This window comes from Homo sapiens, chromosome 5 (assembly GCF_000001405.40).
Source record: "Homo sapiens chromosome 5, GRCh38.p14 Primary Assembly".
NCBI classification, from domain to species: Eukaryota; Metazoa; Chordata; class Mammalia; order Primates; family Hominidae; genus Homo; species Homo sapiens.
In genome coordinates, this window is record NC_000005.10 from 37,011,828 (window position 1) to 37,032,392 (window position 20,565).

General features: G+C 36.8%; 1 protein-coding gene across 8 annotated transcripts in view, besides 2 other annotated features; it reads left to right on the plus strand.

Annotated features, from left to right (window-relative positions):
* Positions 1 to 20,565, plus strand: part of NIPBL (NIPBL cohesin loading factor) — a 189,645-nt gene that overhangs the window by 135,059 nt on the left and 34,021 nt on the right. For all 8 annotated transcript variants that reach the window (NM_001438586.1, NM_133433.4, XM_017009329.2 and 5 more), the window contains 11 exons: positions 2,856 to 2,938; positions 4,211 to 4,343; positions 5,192 to 5,335; positions 7,484 to 7,573; positions 8,632 to 8,846; positions 8,948 to 9,050; positions 10,224 to 10,322; positions 10,417 to 10,563; positions 12,758 to 12,892; positions 14,402 to 14,500; positions 15,532 to 15,585. In NM_001438586.1, the coding sequence (NP_001425515.1) occupies positions 2,856 to 2,938; positions 4,211 to 4,343; positions 5,192 to 5,335; positions 7,484 to 7,573; positions 8,632 to 8,846; positions 8,948 to 9,050; positions 10,224 to 10,322; positions 10,417 to 10,563; positions 12,758 to 12,892; positions 14,402 to 14,500; positions 15,532 to 15,585 (1,302 nt within the window). The remainder of the gene's footprint in view (positions 1 to 2,855; positions 2,939 to 4,210; positions 4,344 to 5,191; positions 5,336 to 7,483; positions 7,574 to 8,631; positions 8,847 to 8,947; positions 9,051 to 10,223; positions 10,323 to 10,416; positions 10,564 to 12,757; positions 12,893 to 14,401; positions 14,501 to 15,531; positions 15,586 to 20,565) is intronic.
* Positions 1,610 to 2,124: an enhancer, noted in NCBI's record as "H3K27ac-H3K4me1 hESC enhancer chr5:37013539-37014053 (GRCh37/hg19 assembly coordinates)". NCBI's record gives its function as "activates a minimal SCP1, AML or CMV promoter by ChIP-STARR-seq in naive H9 embryonic stem cells {active_cell/tissue: H9 hESC(naive)}" and the evidence as "EXISTENCE:reporter gene assay evidence [ECO:0000049][PMID:30033119]".
* Positions 2,125 to 2,638: an enhancer, noted in NCBI's record as "H3K27ac hESC enhancer chr5:37014054-37014567 (GRCh37/hg19 assembly coordinates)". NCBI's record gives its function as "activates a minimal SCP1, AML or CMV promoter by ChIP-STARR-seq in naive H9 embryonic stem cells {active_cell/tissue: H9 hESC(naive)}" and the evidence as "EXISTENCE:reporter gene assay evidence [ECO:0000049][PMID:30033119]".

Sequence of the window (20,565 nt, forward strand, 5' to 3'; positions counted from 1 at the left end):
TTTTTACTTGAGTTAAAAACACCATATCATAGAATCACAACTTAAAGCAAAAGTTTCTGTAGATACACTTAGAAGTAAAATTAAGATAGTATACATGCATTAAATTTACTGGAAGTTGTCAATTTGCTTACTAAAGTGGTGTTTCAGTTTATAGCCCTACTTCTTACTTAAAATTATGGTCATTGAGAAATACCCATCTTATTTTGCATTTTCCTGGTTATTAGTGAGCTTGAGCCCCTTTTCCTATAGTTATTTGTCTGTTGTATTTTTATAACTGTGAATTGACTGTTTATATCTTAATCTTTAAATTTCTTTTTTTTTTTTTTCTTTTTGTTTTCTTTGAGACAGGGTCTCACTCTGTTGCCCAGGCTGGTTGCAGCAGCGTGATCACAGCTCACCACAGCCTCAACCGCCTAGGCTCAAGTGATCCTCCCACCTCAGCCTTCCGAGTAGCTGGAACTACAGGCACGCGCCACCATGCCGGGCTAATTTTTTTTTTTTTTTTATCTTGGTGATATTCTCTTTTTATTTATTTTGTCTTTATTCAGTAATCTGCTTTGATATCCTGAATCAGTATTTCCTTAGGTGGAGAGAGTTTTCATATATTGAATATTAGATTCTTTCTCCAATTTTTTTTTTTTTTTTTTTTTTTTTATTCATTCTTGGGTGTTTCTCGCAGAGGGGGATTTGGCAGGGTCACAGGACAATAGTGGAGGGAAGGTCAGCAGATAAACAAGTGAACAAAGGTCTCTGGTTTTCCTAGGCAGAGGACCCTGCGGCCTTCCGGCCTTCCGCAGTGTTTGTGTCCCTGGGTACTTGAGATTAGGGAGTGGTGATGACTCTTAAGGAGCATGCTGCCTTCAAGCATCTGTTTAACAAAGCACATCTTGCACCGCCCTTAATTCATTCAACCCTGAGTGGATACAGCACGTTTCAGAGAGCACAGGGTTGGGGGTAAGGTCACAGATCAACAGGATCCCAAGGCAGAAGAATTTTTCTTAGTACAGAACAAAATAAAAAGTCTCCCATGTCTACCTCTTTCTACACAGACACGGCAACCATCCGATTTCTCAATCTTTTCCCCACCTTTCCCCCTTTTCTATTCCACAAAACCGCCATTGTCATCATGGCCCGTTCTCAATGAGCTGTTGGGTACACTTCCCAGACGGGGTGGTGGCCGGGCAGAGGCGCCCCTCACCTCCCGGACGGGGGGCTGACCCCCCCCCACCTCCCTCCTGGACGGGGCAGCTGGCCGGGCAGAGGGGCTCCTCACTTCCCAGTAGGGGCGGCTGGGCAGAGGCGCCCCTCACCTCCCGGACGGGGCGGCTGGCCAGGCGGGGGGCTGACCCCCCCACCTCCCTCCCGGACGGGGCGGCTGGCCGGGCAGAGGGGCTCCTCACTTCCCAGTAGGCGCGGCCGGGCAGAGGCGCCCCTCACCTCGCGGATGGGGCGGCTGGCCAGGCGGGGGGCTGACCCCCCCACCTCCCTCCCGGACGGGGCGGCTGGCCGGGCGGGGGGCTGACCCCCCCACCTCCCTTCCGGACGAGGTGGCTGCTGGGCGGAGACGCTCCTCACTTCCCAGACAGGGTGGCTGCTGGGCGGAGGGGCTCCTCACTTCTCAGACGGGGCGGCTGCCGGGCGGAGGGGCTCCTCACTTCTCAGACGGGGCGGTTGCCAGGCAGAGGGTCTCCTCACTTCTCAGACGGGGCGGTCGGGCAGAGACGCTCCTCACATACCGGACGGGGTGGCAGGGCAGAGGTGCTCCCCACATCTCAGACGATGGGTGGCCGGGCAGAGACGCTCCTCACTTCCCAGATGTGATGGTGGCCGGGAAGAGGCGCTCCTCACTTCCTAGATGGGATGGCGGCCGGGCAGAGATGCTCCTCACTTTCCAGACTGGGCAGCCAGGCAGAGAGGCTCCTCACATCCCAGACGATGGGCGGCCAGGCGGAGATGCTCCTCACTTCCCAGACGGGTTGGCGGCCGGGCAGAGGCTGCAATCTCGGCACTTTGAGAGGCCAAGGCAGGCTGCTGGGAGGTGGAGGTTGTAGCCAGCCGAGATCACGCCACTGCACTCCAGCCTGGGCACCATTGAGCACTGAGTGAACGAGACTCCGTCTGCAATCCCAGCACCTCGGGAGGCCGAGGCTGGCGGATCACTCGCGGTTAGGAGCTGGAGACCAGCCCAGCCAACACAGCGAAACCCCGTCTCCACCAAAAAAATACGAAAACCAGTCAGGCGTGGCGGTGCGCTCCTGCAATCGCAGCTCTCGGCAAGCTGAGGCAGGAGAATCAGGCAGGGAGGTTGCAGTGAGCCGAGATGGCAGCAGTACCGTCCAGCTTCGGCTCGGCATCAGAGGGAGACCGTGGAAAGAGAGGGAGAGGGAGACCGTGGAGAGGGAGAGGGAGAGGGAGAAGGAGAGGGAGAGGGAGGGAGAGCTTAATCTTTAAATTTCTGATGAAGGCTTTGAATTTTTTTTTTTGATTGTATGGATTATATGTTTCTTAAACTTTGAGGTTGACATATTTTTTCTAAATTCTTTTTTTATTTTCAATCCATTTCTTTCTGTTCTGACCAGGATTATGATAAACAACTATTGATATTAAATTTGTTAACCACATATGTTACTCTTACATTATTTTAATAACACTCTATCTGTATTTTTATTTGTTTCTATAAAGTTTTAAAATATGCTTAGTGTGCTAATTTTGGCTTCTCTTATTATATATAATGTAATAGTTTAAGCATTTTAGTATTTAAATATATTACCCCTCTTCAGTAATAACATGACAATAGCAACAGGGCTAACTTATTATTTCTTGTATCTTTATAAACTCACTTTTTTTCATTCTAGATTGACCAGGATGTTGTCATTACTAACTCTTATGAAACAGCTATGCGAACAGCCCAAAACTTCCTCTCCATCTTCCTTAAAAAGTGAGTAAAATTAATATAAATCTGGTTTTTCTTTTCCACAGTATAGAGAATAGTTCATTTTTTTAAAAAGATGAATCCAATTTCCTGCCATAATCTGAACCTTGAATACATCTTCCTGACACTTGGTTTCTTGATCTTTAAAATGAGGCAATTGGAGTATTAAAAATCTAAAATTGGGATGGGACTACACGGGGGAAAAAAATCTAAAATTTTGTGAATTTGCTTATATGTTAGACTCCAGAAATTAAAGTACTAGATTGAAATTCTGTAATTTGTCTTCAGTAAATTTTGGAGAATTTTCCTAGTGTACCTGAATAGGAAAGTTTGTGAAGAGATGTTATTTAGCCTCCATATGAATTTTTTTTTTTTTTTAATGAGACAGAGTTTCGCTCTTGTTGCCCAGGCTGGAGTGCAATGGCACGATCTCAGCTAACTGCAACCTCCGCCTCCCAGCTTCAAGCGATTCTCCTGCCTCAGCCTCCCAAGTAGCCGGGATTACAGGCATGCACCACCATGGCCAGCTAATTTTTGTATTTTCAGTAGAGACGGGGTTTCCCCGTGTTGGTTAGGCTGGTCTCGAACTCCCAACCTCCGGTGATCTGCCTGCCCTGACCTCCCAAAGTGCTGGGATTACAGGCGTGAGCCACTGCGCCCAGCCCAGCCTCCATAAGAATTTATGATGACCTTGGCCAGGTGTGGTGGCTCACACCTGTAATCCCAGCACTTTGGAAGACCAAGGCAGGTGGATTACAAGGTCAGTTCGAGACCAGCCTGACCAGCGTGGTGAAACCCTGTCTCTACTAAAAATACAAAAATTAGCCAGGCATGGTGGTGCACGCCTGTAGTCCCAGCTACTTGAGAGGCTGAGGCAGGAGAATCGCTGGAACCCGGGAGGTGGAGGGTTGCCGTAAGCCAAGATCATGCCACTGCACTCCAGCCTGGGTGACAGGGTGAGACTCCATCTCAAAAAAATAAAGAATTTATGGTGATCTTTTAGGTAGAAAAACAGTGATCATTTTTTTAAATGTGTTTCACTTGCGAGAAAGTAGTATTAGTATTGCTTAATAAATGAATTCCCTATAATTAAGGAGAAAGTGGAGTTTGTGAAATAGACTCATTTTAAACCATATTTTATTTAATGTACATTTATATATTTTGTTACTAAACATAGAAAAAAGAAAACTTAGCTAACAATTTCAATCATGTTGGTAGACAGATGACTGACATGTGTCACCTAAATTGACATCCTTTTCATTATTTGCCTTTGAACAGATGTGGTAGTAAGCAAGGTGAAGAAGATTACAGACCACTGTTTGAAAATTTTGTTCAAGACCTTCTTTCAACAGTCAATAAGCCTGAATGGCCAGCTGCTGAACTACTCCTTAGTTTGTTAGGGAGACTGTTGGTAAGAGTATAGCATTTAAAGATTATTAGATTACTAGAAGACAACATAATGAGGATGTACTCTGATTCACAGATGATGAATTCTTTAAAAATGTGTAAGGAAATATGAACATTGCATCTCTTTTTGCATGTGCATAACTGTACACAATATTGTCAGTACCTTGTAGAAAATTTTCAAATGTTGTGAAGTTTGGTGCTTTCATTTCATTACATAAGATAACAGTGCTTTAACAATTTTTTTTTTTTTGGAAATGTTATATTGTTAAAAGCATCTCAACACTGAGTCATAAGTTACTCATTTCAAAGCAAGAAAATGATTAATATAGACTCCTTATCATCTTTAAGAGTATTTCTACAAATGTATGGCATTTTGTAGTCGTCATGTAACACAGTAGGTAAATGCAAAGAAATGTTGTGACTCTATTTTTAAACTACATTTGAACTTGCACAATACACATTGTTACAAAGCTTCTGGGACCTTTTTGTGAATGGGAAAATATGTTAATATTATTCGGAAACTATAATAACTTTTCATAGGCATCAGAATTCCACCCTAAGAAATTCTTACTCAGTAATACCACATTTTGTGCAAATAATACAGTTGAGCCTGCATATTTAATGAGTTGTGTTGTTCTTAAGGAAGTTTAATCTGTAATTTTTTTAGTCACATGAAAATGTTCAGATTCCAGAAAATCAAAAGGCAAAAATGACTTTATGGGACAATATCACAGGAAAAAAAAAAGTTTAAATTTTAAATTATACAATTTAGATTGGGAATTTATATGATAAATTGCTATTTAAAATATATTGTTATAAATCTATTCAATCAAAAACTATTTTGATATTTAGGTTCATCAGTTCAGTAACAAGTCAACAGAGATGGCTTTAAGAGTGGCATCTCTTGATTACCTTGGAACTGTTGCTGCACGGCTAAGAAAAGATGCTGTTACAAGCAAAATGGATCAAGGATCTATAGAACGCATTTTAAAACAGGTACTAAGATAAAAGATTAAAATTATGGGAATGAATAATAGTTATTTTCTTTGCATGTCCTTACATTAGTTTTGCATTTCATTTTGTGTGGATTCAAAATAAGATTTTTACTTCTAAAAGTGGGCTTTTCAAAGCCCCAGTGAGAAATTTTAAGACCTGAGAATGAATTATTTAGTCTAACAGGGACTTCTGAATGGTTCATATAAATCATTTACTTTCTTTTTGTGAAGTACTCTTAATAATGTATAATGCTGTTTTATATTTGATTTAACATAAATTTTATTTAAGTTTTTAATTTACTGAATGGTGATTTAGCATACACAATAAGATTGTTTTGTACTTTTGAATGTTTTGTATCTTCTCATACCAAGGAGGTGTGAGGAGAGCTTTTTTATACTTTATTACATTAGAGAGTTTTCATCTTGGGGGAAAAAGTGTTTTATTGCTTTTTTTTTTTTAATGTGGATGAAGTGGTAGTAATAAAGTTACTTGAGAAAACTGGTGAAGAAATGATTTCTAATCCTACTATATACAACTTCTGTTTTCATTTTTTTCTAGTCTTTTTTTATGCTCGTAATCATATCCATGTTGGTAGAAATGCCTCTAATTTTTTTTTAGCTATAGTTCGTGTTTTGAAATAATCTCAACCTTAGAGAAAAATTGTAGGAATAGTACAAAGAACTCCCATAAAAGCTTCTTGCAAATTCCTCAATTATTGACAATTTACAAAATTTCCTTTCTCATCTTTCAAAATATAGATGTATGTGTGTCTGTATATGCATTTTTTTTTAAATTTTGTTTCGAACCACTTGAAGTTAAGTTGCAGACATGATTCCCTCATTACCCCTGAATTCTCTAATGCAGTGATTTTCCAAGTATGATCCCCTTGACAAGTAACACCAACATTGAAATCATCTGGGAACTAACAAGTACATTTCTAACAAAAGTACAAATTCTTAGGACCCTCCCTGGACCTACTGAATCAAAAACTCTTGGTTTAACAAGCCCTCCAGGTGATTCTAATGAATGAATGAATGCTGAAACTTGGGAACCACTGCTTAGTGTATATTTCTGCAAACAAGAGCTCTCACTTAAATATCTATAGTACAATTATCAAAAGCAAAAAATTATCATTAATACAATATTAACATCTGATGTAATACAATACCTACTCTGGTAAATTATAATTTGTTGCCATCATTATTTTAATGCTCAAATCGTCCTAGATTTGATCAATGAGAACCCTTTGAAGCTGGCTTTTATATCATTTTGATATATTCCCATCATAATTTGAGGGCTTTCTAGAACAAAAAGGTATTTCAGGCAGATCTTTTACCTTCCCTACCCCTGCCCTGGGATCAGTTGTTTCTCCTAGGAATCTTGGTTCCTTTTGTTGGTGAATTGTAATGTAGAAACCAAGATCTAGTTACTGGATGACTTTCTGTATTTCTTAAAGTGGGCCTGGAACCTCTTATTGCCATGTATGGCTATGTTGATTATACATTGTGCAGCTCAAGGGGAAGGATCATTTGTAAATTTTTATGGCTCTCAACACATATTTCCAAAAGGAAATTCTTCCTACCTCTGAAGATTTAACACATTTTTCTGATCATTTTTATGTCAACTACCTATGAGCTCTTTTTTTAAAAAATGACATATGGTTCATAAAAATAATGGCCGGGCGCAGTGGCTTACACCTGTAATCTCAGAAGGGTGGATTATTTGAGGTCAGGAGTTCGAGATCAGCTTAGCCAACATGGTGAAACCCTGTCTCTACTAAAAATACAAAAATTAGCCAGGCATGGTGGACCATGCCTGTAGTCCCAGCTACTAGGGAGGCTGAGGTAGGAGAATTGCTTGAACCCAGGAGGCAAAGATTGCAGTGAGCCGAGATAGTGCCACTGGACTCCAGCCTGGGCGACAGAGTGAAACTCCATCTCAAAAAAAGTAAAACAAAAAAGGCAAACTTCAGCTATCAATATATAATATTTTTCGGAAATAATATTTTTCTGTTTTTTCCTTTTAGTTACTGTGGTTGTATTTTCATTTTTAATATCAGTTTTTCCTTCAGATTTGTGTTTACAATTAGGTGATTTATTAAAGCACACCAGTAATATCTTTTTTGTTCTTATTTGGTTTATTCTATAGGTTTCAGGAGGGGAAGATGAAATCCAACAATTACAAAAAGCATTGCTTGATTACTTGGATGAAAACACTGAGACTGATCCTTCACTAGTGGTAGGATTCTTTTCCCCTGTTTTGGAGATACTACATGTTTATTTAAATTGGGTTTAAGAAAATTGGGAGGTAGCATGATGAAGAGGAAAACTTAAGTTGTTTGGAATATTGATTTTCAAAACAAAGGGATACTTGATAATCTAAACAGAAAAGAATGCTTTGGGTTGATTTGTCTTATATGGAATTCTGGTTACAGATACTGTACTGTACTAAAATTGTGTGACAAGAGAAATATTTGGAAGTCTCTCCGTAAGTGATCTTTGAGGCTAGGCTAGGTCATTGGTTCTCAGAGTGAGTATGGGCCGAGTGGTACATGAGATGATCTATAAGCCTGTAAAAATAAACTATTGGATTTTTATATGTATATTTTTAAATATAATTTTACTTCTATTTCATGTATGTTACACAATGTAACCAAAATATTAGTATAAGAGGTTCATGTACAAAATTTATAAACTATTATTTGAGAACATTATACATAGAGATATTTTATTTTATTTTTTAACTGGTGGGATATGCAATTGAAAGAAATGGGATACTACTAAGCTCTTCAGCCAAATACTGTAGGTTTTCAGTTTGTATTCAAAGGAACAGATTTACAGGTGTGTCTCAGTGTTAAACTATTTCAGTGACAATTGTCTTGTGTGTTTCTTGGAGAACTAAGGCAAAATTTGAAAACAGATGAAGTCTTCTACCTTCAGCATTTTATCAATTTGTTTTAAACTTTCCTAGTTGACCCATCATCTGTTTAACTTTGTCATGATGTTGTCCTTGATTAAGTAGTTGATAATAGTATTCTATATTTAATACAGTTGTGTTTATCAAATTATCTTGACTTCATTAATATAAGTATTGGAACATAGTAAAATAATAAGTTTTCTAACATTTAGGATATTCTATATTTTCTGGCTTTCTTAAAATCTGTTTTTATCACATGGAAGTTGTTTTAAAGTAAACTTTAATATTTGTATTCCTGTAATGTGAGCACTCTAACTTTATTAACTTGGAAATCTTGTTGCTAATTTCATCAAGCTCAAGTCTGTCTAATTTCTTTCCAGTTTTCTCGTAAATTCTATATAGCCCAGTGGTTTCGAGACACAACTCTGGAAACAGAAAAAGCAATGAAATCACAAAAAGATGAAGAATCATCTGAAGGAACACATCATGCAAAGGAAATTGAGACAACTGGCCAAATTATGCATCGAGCTGAAAACCGAAAAAAGTTTCTTAGAAGCATTATCAAAACCACACCTTCTCAGTTTAGCACATTAAAGTAAGATCCAAGGAGAAAACAGTTTACATTTATCTCCTTGATATCTATTTCCCTAAGTTACAAAAAAAGAAAAATAAATTTTTAATGACTTTTTGTTGCAGGATGAACTCTGATACTGTGGACTATGATGATGCTTGCTTGATTGTTCGATACTTGGCCTCCATGAGGCCGTTTGCCCAGAGCTTTGATATTTATTTGACACAGGTAAACTGGATAAGAATTCCTTATACAGTGATATTGATTTTTCTGATTCTGGATGCTTGTGAGCAGTATATAATATCATTCATTGTTGAGTACAGATACTTAAAAGATCATAGATGTAGTATTTGTTTTTAGGTTCTCCGGCCGGGTGTAGTGGCTCACGCCTGTAATCCCAACACTTTGGGAAGCCAAGGCAAGTGGATCACCTGAGGTCAAGAGTTCGAGACCAACCTGACCAACATGGTGAAACCCCGTCTCTACTAAAAATACAAAAATTAGCGGGGCGTGGTGGCACATGCCTGTAATCCCAGCTACTCGGGAGGCTGAGGCCGGAGAATTGCTTGAACCTGGGAGGTGGAAGTTGCAGTGAGCCGAGATCGTGCCATTGCACTCCAGCCTGGGCAACAAGAGGGAAACTCCATCTCAAACAAAAAAAGAAAGTCCTTGTTCTACATCCCTTTTACATATTCTTGTTTTACAAATATATATTTGTATGAATGCACACACATACAGTATCAGTAGAGTAAGTGACATTATAAAAACATCCAACTAAATCCCAGCACTTTGGGAAGCCAAGGCGGGCAGATTACGAGGTCAGGAGATCAAGACCGTCCTGGCTAACACAGTGAAACCCCATCTCTACTAAAAATACAAAAAATTAGCTGCCATGGTGGCATGTGCCTGTAGTCCCAGCTACTCAGGAGGCTGAGGCAGGAGAATCGCTTGAACCCGGGAGATGGAGGTTGCAGGGAGCCGAGATTGCGCCACTGCACTCCAGCCTGGGCGACAGAGCGAGACTCCATCCCAAAAAATAAAGTAATAAAATACAAAACATTCAACTACCAAATTATGATTTGAATGATACTAAATATCTTTGATTCAAGTTACACATAGCAAGGTTTTAATGGGGCTACAGGTTCTGCAAATGAAGCAAAACAATTAAAAAACAGGTTTAATTGGATAAACGAAAGGCTCCAAAGTATGGACTATACACTTAACACCTGTACTGATTTTTAAGTTAAACTTTGAATCATTAGGAAAGATCCTTTACTCATTTATATACAGATTAAAGAGAGGTAAATAATAGATTTGTTTTCTTTTGCATGTTTTCATGCTATTTTTAATTAAATTTTATGTATTCTAAAATTTACAAAAATGTCAATGTTTGCTTGGCAGATCCTACGAGTTCTTGGTGAAAATGCAATTGCTGTTCGAACAAAAGCCATGAAGTGTTTGTCTGAGGTTGTTGCTGTAGACCCCAGTATTCTAGCAAGGGTAAAGAGCAAAAATGATTCTTTCTTTTCTACTCGAATTGGAATATTCACTCTATTTAGGTATAAATTGTTTTTTTCTCTTCATTTTTCTTTAGCTTGATATGCAACGAGGTGTTCATGGACGATTGATGGATAATTCGACTAGTGTCCGAGAAGCAGCAGTAGAATTACTAGGTCGATTTGTCCTTTGTCGACCTCAGCTTGCTGAACAGTATTATGATATGCTGATTGAAAGAATATTGGTATGTTTGTCATTTTTATAATGATTCGTGAATATAATTTTGCCTTTCAAGCATCATGTTTTGTTTTAAAGTGTTAAGTTAGAAAAATAAATGTACCAATTATATATTTATATTGTCAAATTTATGAACTATTGCCACTTTCTAAACAAGTACATATTTTCAAGAATAGCCCTTGCAATATCATAAAACAAATCATTGGTAATAATTGGATTCCTTTTTTCAGTTGCTGTTTCTTTTTAATTATACCAGTTTACAATGAGTAGATGATAGGAACCACATGGGGTAGTTAAATGTTTTTGAACAAGAATCTAGAGTGATTTTATGTATATATTTATGTATGTATATATATAAACAGGAAGAATTATTTCAGTGAGAGACACGTACAGAACGTTGGTACCTGACAATATTTTTGGATCCCTTAGGTGCATCTTCTTGTTTCCTTAAAGCTGATTAATGATAGCTCAGATACCTACAAGTTAAGCCCAAAAGTCCATTGAGGTTTAAGAGCAAACTAAAGAGGTTCTACATACATCATGGAATTCTCTGGCTCTGAAGCATTTTTCTGAAAAATGAAAGGAAACATTGGCATTAGGAAATATCTGTGGAATCTCCACACTACCCATTGCAGGCATATTGACTTATTGTAGAACTCAACATAGATGCACTAGTGCACAAAATTAAGTATTACCTCAATGACAAGAGTTTATTTTGTCACCCTTGGCCTAATATCAGAACATTGTGTGACAGAAGTATAGAGTCATTTTTAGCTTCAACTAGGCATAAATCTTGGTTGAGAAACAAATAATTTAAAGAAAAGCTGGAAAAATTTTTTTCCTTCTTAGGGCTTCCATCTTTTGAAGGGTAAAATCAACAGGATTCCCACGTATCTGATAAACTCTGATATTTGTAACCCTAGTAAAATATCCTAAAATATTTTGGGGATTGCTAAAATCACATAATGGAGATTAATAATTTTGCACACTTCATGTATGATGCTTTTTATTTTTAAAACTCTTTAATATGAAAGTTTGTTAAAGAAAAATAGTACAGTGAACACCCTTGTACCTACCTCCATACTTCATCTGTACTTTCTGCTAAATTATTTTAAGTCAAACATTTTTTACTTCTTTTCTTGTGAACACTTCAGTTTGTAACACCAAAAAAAGATACTGTGCTATATAAACAAAACCATTATCTCACCCAAATTAGCACTCTAGTATCATCTGAATACTAGTTCTTAGATCCTCCATTGTCCTAAAAATGTTTTTTCATTCTTCTTTTTTAAGAATCAGAATTCAGTCAAAGGTAATACATTGCATTTGGGGGTCATGTCTTAAAATTGAAGACTATTTTCTTATTCTTTTTTTTTTTTTTTTTTTTTTTTTACATCCCATATGACATTGACGGATTAAAAAGGCCTGATCGGTTTTGTTATCTTCCCACACTTCGTTTAATTTAACTTGTGTTTTGTATCTCTTATAAACCATAAGATAGGCCAGGCGCAGTGCCTCATGCCTGTAATTGCAGCACTTTGGGAGGCTGAGGCGGGTGAATCACCCAAGGTCAGGAGTTCAAGACCAGCCTGACAACATGGTGAAACACTGTTTCTACTAAAAATACAAAAATTAGCCAGGCGTGGTGGTATGCACCTGTAATCCCAGCTACTCGGGAGGCTGAGACAGGAGAATCGCTTGAGCCTGGGAGGCAGAGGTTGCAGTGAGCTGAGATCGCACCATTGTTACCCCAGCCTGGGCGAGAAGAGCAAAACTCCATCCCAAAAAAAAAAAAGAAGTAACCATAAGATAGTGCCAAAGGTTTGATTAGATTCAGGTTAAACATTTTTATGAAGTCTACTTTTAAGTGATACTTCATGTGCTGTTTAAGTGCCAGACACTATTCTAAAGCTTATGTTTGTTTTCTCATTTAATTTTGACAAGCGTATACTTCTAGTCTTGTGTCCAGGGCTTAACTATAAAATATGTTTCTATGTCTTAGATATCATACTTTAAAAGTAAAGACAACATAAAAAAATAACACATTTATAGTAGCAGAAAGCATGTAAAAAGCAAATATGTCAAGTGTGTTTATCATGTTAACAAATAGTGAATATACTGCGTATGGATACTTATTTTCTAATTTCATACACTAGGCATCTCAATTTTTCTGACTCTTAAAAATACCTTTCTGTTTTTAGGATACTGGTATCAGTGTCAGGAAAAGAGTAATAAAGATTCTCAGAGACATTTGTATTGAACAACCAACATTTCCAAAAATCACAGAAATGTGTGTAAAAATGATTCGCAGAGTCAATGATGAAGAGGGCATTAAGGTAGTGTTGACTGTTTTAAATTTATTTTTCATTAATGTTTAAAATAAGTTAAATGTTTATTGCACCTAAATGTTGATTTTAAATATATCCAAACACTTTACAATGAATCGTTTATAGTTTATAAACTTAAGAAAAATACATACTTTAATTTTTTTTGTTTCTAGATTTTTATATTAAGTATTATAATCTGATTTTAACCAACCAATTCCTCAGTGGTAATATTTATTTAAGACTGGCCATAGTAGCTCATGCCTATAATCCCAGCACTTTGGGAGGCCAAGGCAGGAGAATGGCTTGAGGCCAGGAGTTGGAGATCAGCCTGGGCAACATAGTAAGAATCCTATTTCTATAAAAAATAAAATGATGAAAATAATTTTTAAAAATTTCACCAAACATAGTAGAGCATGCCTATAGTTCCAGCTACTCTAGAGATTGACACAGGAAGATTACTTGAGCCCAGGAATTCAAGGCTGCAGTGAGCTGTAATCTTGCCACTGCACTCCTGCCTGGGCAAGGGTGAGACTCCATCTCAAAAAATGTGCATGTGTGTGTTGATTGATTTATTGATTGTTATTATAAGAGATTGCATTATATTCAAAGGTTTCTCATGGGATTATTTTAATTTTCAAATGATTTTAGTTTTCTAAATTATTAAATAAATACTTTGTTTCATTATGTTAAGTGAAATAAGCCAGACACAGAAAATAGCACATATTTTCACTCATGCGTGGAAGCTTAAAAAAAATTTATCTCATAGAGATAGAGAATAGAAAGATGGTTAGCAGAGGGAGGGAAGGGTTGTGAGGGGTTGAATAAAGAGGGGTTGGTTCACAGTTATCAAAAATACACCCAGAAGGAATAAAATTTAGTGTTCAGTAGCACAATAGGGTGACTATAGTTAACAATAACTTATTGTACATTTAAAAATAACTAGAAGAATGGAAATAGGATGTTCCTAACACAAAGAAATGGTAAGTGCTTGAGGCGATGGATACCCCAGTTACCCTGATTTGATCATTATACATTGTATGCTTGTATCAAAAGTTCAACTATACTTCATAAATGTGTACAGCTATTATGTATCCATAAAAAAAAAATTTTAAGTTTAGTCCTAAATTCATTAGTAAATTTACATTTATATATAATAATATGTATAATTGTCCCTTTTTTTTAAGTTTAGCAAACACTGTAACAACTTCTTCTCCAAAAGCAGTAAATATATTTTTTAGTTTGATCATAAACATTTGAGTGTATAGTATGAAGAAGTTCTAGGCTAGGGATAGTATCACCCATTCGTATTGTTTAAAATCTTTACCAAATTGAAAATTTTTATAGTTTTGAGAAATTAGTAGTTTTAGAAAAAACTGAGGAAATTAATACCAGAAATTCCTGGCAGTTTGTGTTTTGATTAGTTATTTATAGCTTTGTGTTGGGCCTAATGAGAATTTGGAATTGTGAAATTGCCGTATTTGTTATAATTAGTTAATTTGAAATTTCTCTTCCTTCTAGAAATTAGTAAATGAAACATTCCAGAAACTCTGGTTTACTCCAACTCCACACAATGACAAAGAAGCAATGACAAGGAAAATTTTAAACATTACCGATGTGGTAAGAAGGACTGGAACAAGGGTGTGGTCACTGTTGATCCAGACCTAATTGAGGCCTACATGTCTTATGAAGGAAGAGACAATAATGAGATATTTCATTAATCTTGACATTTCGTACTGCTGCCTTTACTTTATATTTCTGGAGATGCTGAAGGGATGCAAGTAACATGTCGTTGATGCTTCCATATAGCCCTACTTCTTGGCATTAATTGATGTAAACACTGATACTGAGATTTTCCTATTCCTCCAGCAATTAAAAACAGGGAGGGAAAGGAGAAATGGAAGAACAGATACAATCGCCCAAGGGTAATAATCTGCAAAGATAGTAATGCCTACTTTTTTCAGAAATTATGAATATGGATTAGCTACATTTTTTATTATGCATAAGCTATACATTTTGTGTTTTTAATATAAGAAATTTTTGCCAGTCACAGCGCATATGCCTATAATCCCAGCTGCTCAGGAGTCTGAGACGGGGGATCAAGAGATCTTTGAACCAGGAGTTCAAAGCTGCAGTATACTGTAATCATGCCTGTGAATAGGCACTACACTCCAGCCTGGGCAATATAATAGCAAGATCCCTTCTCAAAAAAAAAAAAAGAAAAGAAAGAAAAATTCTGTATATTCAATTACATCATCTTCTACATTTCTATTGATGTCTTTAAAATGTGCCATCTAGAAGCGTAATAAGAAAAATATTTTTGTTCTTAATGTTTAAGATATTACAGATTTTCCTCACAGAGTGTAGTTCAAGTTATTGTGCCATTTTAAACTTATGCCACTTTAAACATTTAGTGCCATATTAAACCTCAATACATTAAACTAATTTCTTCAATGTTTTCCAAGATATTTTTTAGAATAAAGTTCTGTAACGTTGGTAAATGGTTGTGTTACTGAAAAAATAGTTTACTTTAAAAATAAACTTTTGAATTGAGAAAATTGAAACATGTTTCAGGCTAAAGCATAACAAAAGTATATTTTATTCACATTTATAAATATACTTCTAACTTTGATTCTTTTCATCACCCTTAGGTTGCAGCATGCAGAGATACTGGATATGACTGGTTTGAGCAACTGCTTCAAAACGTGAGTGTTCTTTTGACTCCTGATAACCTAAAATTTAATAGGTTAGTTTTTTGTTGTTGGTGTTTTTTTTTTTTTGGACTGTATGATTTAAAAGAACCTTTTTAGTTCTTTTGGTAGGGAAAATTTATTTCAATATGTTAGGCTGGATGATTTTGTTAATTTCTATAATTAATTCAGTTGCCTGGTTGTGGTTTTTTTTTTTTTTTTTTTTTTTTTGAGGTGGAGTCTCGCTCTCTCACTCTGTCGCCCAGGCTGGAGTGCAGTGGCACAATCTTGGTTCACTTCAACCTCTGCCTCCTGGGTTCAAGCAATTCTCCTGCCTCAGCCTCCAGAGTAGCTAGGATTACAGGTGTCCACCACCACACTCGGCTAATTTTTGTATTTTTGGTAGAGACGGGGTTTTACTATGTTGGCCAGGCTGGTCTCAAACTCCTGACCTCAGGTGACCTGCGTGCCTCGGCCTCCCAAAGTGCTGGGATTATAGGCATGAGCCACTGCGCCTGGCCTTCAGTTGTCTATTGTACAAGTAAGTTTTCTGAATCATTAACTAAAATTCTATCTTACTTTCTTTCCAGATAATTTTTTTTCTTTAATCTCTGTGATTAATAGATACAAGATTTATAAATGGATCAATATATTGCATTAAAAATATAATTACATGATTTAGTATGTTATGCATAGAATTTCCTTTAGTAGTACAGAGTCAAACCACAACTAGTGGGTTTTTTTTAAGTTTCATAAATAGAAATGTTTATCTCCCTATGAATTGTTAAATTTTTTATTTTAGAAAATTTCACACAGGCAGAAATATCCATCACCCAGCTTCAAAAATTATCAGCATTTTCCCAGTCTTGTTATAGCTATCCTTCCCCTATCTGGTTTTCTCCTTTTCTTTCTTTCTTCTTTTGTTTTCCATAATACTTTTTTTTTTTTTTTTTTTTTGAGATAGAGTCTCACTCTGTTGCCCAAACTGGAGTGCAGTGGCGCCATCTTGGCCGGCTCACTGCAACCTCCGCCTCCTGGGTTCAAGGGTTTCTCCTACCTCAGCCTCCCAAGTAGCTGGGGTTACAGGCACTTGCCACCACACCCAGCTAATTTTTGTATTTTTAGTAGAGATGAAGTTTCGCCATGTTGGCCAGGCTGGTCTCAAACTCCTGACCTCAGGTGATCTGCCCACCTCGGCCTCCCAAAGTGCTGAGATACAGGTGTGGGCCACCATGCCCAGCCTGTAATACTTTTAAAACAAAGGCCAAACTTTATATTATCTCATTCATAAATACTTTAGCATCTATCTATCTGTAGCAGATGACTTTTTTAAAAAATTATCATTTATACCAAAATAATAATGCATTATTCCATAACTAATACCTATTCAGTGTTCATATTTTCCTGTCTCAAAAATGTATTTTTATAGTTGGTTTGCAGTTGCTTTGGTTGATATACTCTTAAGTCTCTTATGTTAGTTTGCCCCTTACCTCCCTTTTCTCATGCGACTTGTATGTTTTTCTGTAGAATCTCCCACATTCTGGATTTAATAGTCCACTTTTTTTCTGGTGTCATTTAAGTTGTTCCTCTATCCACCAGTTTTCAAGTAAACTCTTAGTGAAATCTAGAGGCTTAATATGATTAAAGTTCAATTTTTAATCTAGGAGACAAATACCTCATAGGTGGTGTTGAATATTATTGCATCACAGCAGGAAGCACATATCTAGTTGTCTCATTTTCAGTGATTGATCTTTGATGAATTTAAGTGATGATATACAGTCATGTAACGTCCAACACAATGAACATACAGGATTTCACCCTAAAATGCCTTTTTGCAGTTGATCCTCTCTTCCTGGCCCTAGAAAACTATTGATCTACTTTTTCTCACTGTAGTTGTACCTTTTCATGTACATTGTTCCTATCAATGGAGTCATACAGTATGTAATCTTGTGTTTGACTTTTTAAACTTAGAATGTTGATTCATTCTTGTTGCTAATATATTAATATATCTTTTTATTACTGAGTAGTTTCAGTAGTGTGGATATATCATAATTTCTTTATCATTCACCATTTTGTGGACTTTGGGGTTCTTTCCAGTTTGGGGTGTTATGAATAATGCTTCTGTGAATATTGGTGTGTAAGGTTTTGTGTAGATGTATGTTTTCATTTATCTTGGGTAAACTCCCAGGAATGTGATTACAGGGTCATATGGTGAGTGAGAAACTGCCAAAATGTTTTTCCAAAATTGCTAAACCATTTTTCATTTCCACCATCAGTGTATGAAAGTTCCGGTTGCTCCACATCCTCACCAGTTCTCATTATTGTCACTTTTTTTAAAACTTTAGCCATTTTGGTGTGGTGGTAAAAGTAGTACATTACTTTCTTAAGATGTCTTTTTTAAAAAACCTTCATGGTGTTTTCAATGTGTAATCTTAGACTGTCTTCTTAAATCATCTTTCATTTCATATTTTTACATGATATATTTGGCATCATTTCTTTCCTAAATCAAATAGTTAGCTCTATATCATAGAACCTTATGACCACCTTAGTTAAGTTTATGTCAGCCATCCCAAAAGGTACATCATGATTTCTAAAAGGCTCTAAATCATATATTTCATTTGATAGTTATTATAAATGATCAAGTAAGAATTCAATGTAATTATCAGAAATGTCACTATTTAGGATTACTAAAAAGAATCTACAATAATGTCATCTTGTATTAGCAAATTAGAAGCAGAAGGGACATGACCAGATTTATACTCTCTTAACAATGATAGTTTTACTTGTACATTCTTTGTATCTTTATTCTCTAGTCCCATTTATTTAGTTAGTAAGTTAGTTTATCCATCCTATTCATGCTCTCTATTCTATGCTTTCCTACTTTAGTTTCTGCCAGCAACTTAGTTTACCAATGATATTGTGACTTTGTGATATATTTCCTTATACTAGCAGAGTTTGGTTTAGTGAAAGAAAGCAAACTCATATATATATATATGACAGAGACATAACTACTCTGAGCAATTATAACATATATGCATAAATGTTAAGAAAAGCTAGGAAGGATATAAAGAATGGACTGCTGGAGTTATTACAAATTCTTGAGTCCAGAATAATTAACATGCTTACTGTTTTTACATGAGCACATATGCATGCATTGCATTCAGTCCAATTTCAGATATTTCTAATTTTTATTTTTGGATTGGGTTTTTGGGGTTTGTTGTTGTTGTTTGTTTTTTGTAGATCATTGACTCTCCCCATTTATTGAATTTTTTTTTAGGGAAACTTGAAGTACTACTAAAATAGCTTCAAATTCCCACATGTACTAAACTCTGTTCATTGTCTAAATAATTATGTTAGTATATCTTTTTTTTTTTGGAGACAGGGTCTCGCTGTGTCATGCAGGCTGGAGTGCAGTGGCACCATCATGGCCCACTGTGGCCTCAACCTCCCTGGCTCAAGCAGTCCTCTTTCCTCAGCCTCCCAAGTAGCTGGAACCACAGGCATGCACCACCATGTTTAGCCTTTTTTTTTTTTTTTTTTTTTTTTGAGACAGGATGTCACTATATTACTCAAGCTTTTAGTATATCTTTTGTTTTTGTTTTTGAGGCGGAGTTTCACTCTTGTCGCCCAGGGTGGAGTGCAGTGGCACGATCTCCGCTCACTGCAACCTCCGCCTCCTGGGTTCAAGTGATTCTCTTGCCTCAGCCTCCCGAGTAGCTGGAATTACAGGCACCCACCACCACGCCTGGCTAATTTTTTTATATCTTTAGTAGAGACGGGGTTTCACCATGTTGGCCAGGCTGGTCTTGAACTCCAGACCTCAGGTGATCTGCCCACCTTGGCCTCCCAAAGTGCTGGGATTATAGGCGCAAGCCACCGTGCCTGGCCAGTATGTCATTTTTAAATGTATGGTGCTATCATTCCTTTATAACCTTTAACAATTCATAGTTTTTTGGCATTTTTCAGTAGGATGTGGAAGATTAACTTCTGTCCTGAAGGTCCTCACATTTTTTTTATTTCTAAAATGTACTCCAGTTAGTTTAAACCACTACCATAAATTGAGTAGCCCTTTATGACAGTCTTCTTCAAAAAACACATTGATAGCCATGTGATGGGTACACAAAAATTAAATAGATTTTACAGTGCCATTCATTTTAATTACTTAAGATCTAAGACTGACCATTTTCTAGTTTGTAAGGAAAATACAGGCAATGAAAAACAGTTAAGAGTAACCTGTTTCATCTCTTCCTGTCCTTTGTAATCCAGAGCAAGATCTTTCCGAGTTTACAATAAAATATTTTATCTCTATCAACCAGTGAATGGATAAATAAACTATGACAATCCCATGCAATTTAATAGTACTCCACATCAAAAAGGAACAGGGTATTAATACATACAGCAACATAGATAAATAATGAAAACATTGTGCAGAGTAAAAGAAGCCTTACGTAGAAGAGTACATATTATAATTCCATTTATACAAAATTCTAGGAGAGGTAAAACTAATCTATACTGGAAAAAATCAGAAGAGTGGCTGCAGGGAGCTGGGGATTGACTGGGAAAGGACATGAGGGAACTTTCAGGGATGATAGTTATGGTCCCTATCAGTGGTTCTAAAGGTTACCAGCATTACCTGGAGTTTTATTAGAAATGCAAATTCTTAGGCCCTACTCCAGACTTAATTCATCAGTAACTCTGAGGGTAGAGCCCATCATTCTGTATTTTAACAGTCTCTCTCCAGATGATTCAGATATAAGTTGACGATTGAGAACAACTGTTCTGTATATTGGTGTAGGGACTTGAGTTACAGTGGTGAATGCATTTGACAAAACTGAGCAAATGTACACTAAAAATTTGTGCATTTTATTGCATGTACATTTTATCTCAAGGAAAAAACGGGGAGTATACTGAAGTCTCCAGTTTACCTTGAAATGCATTGAAAGTAAAATGGATATAGGTGTGTGTGTATGCATATGCATACATGTATACGTGTGT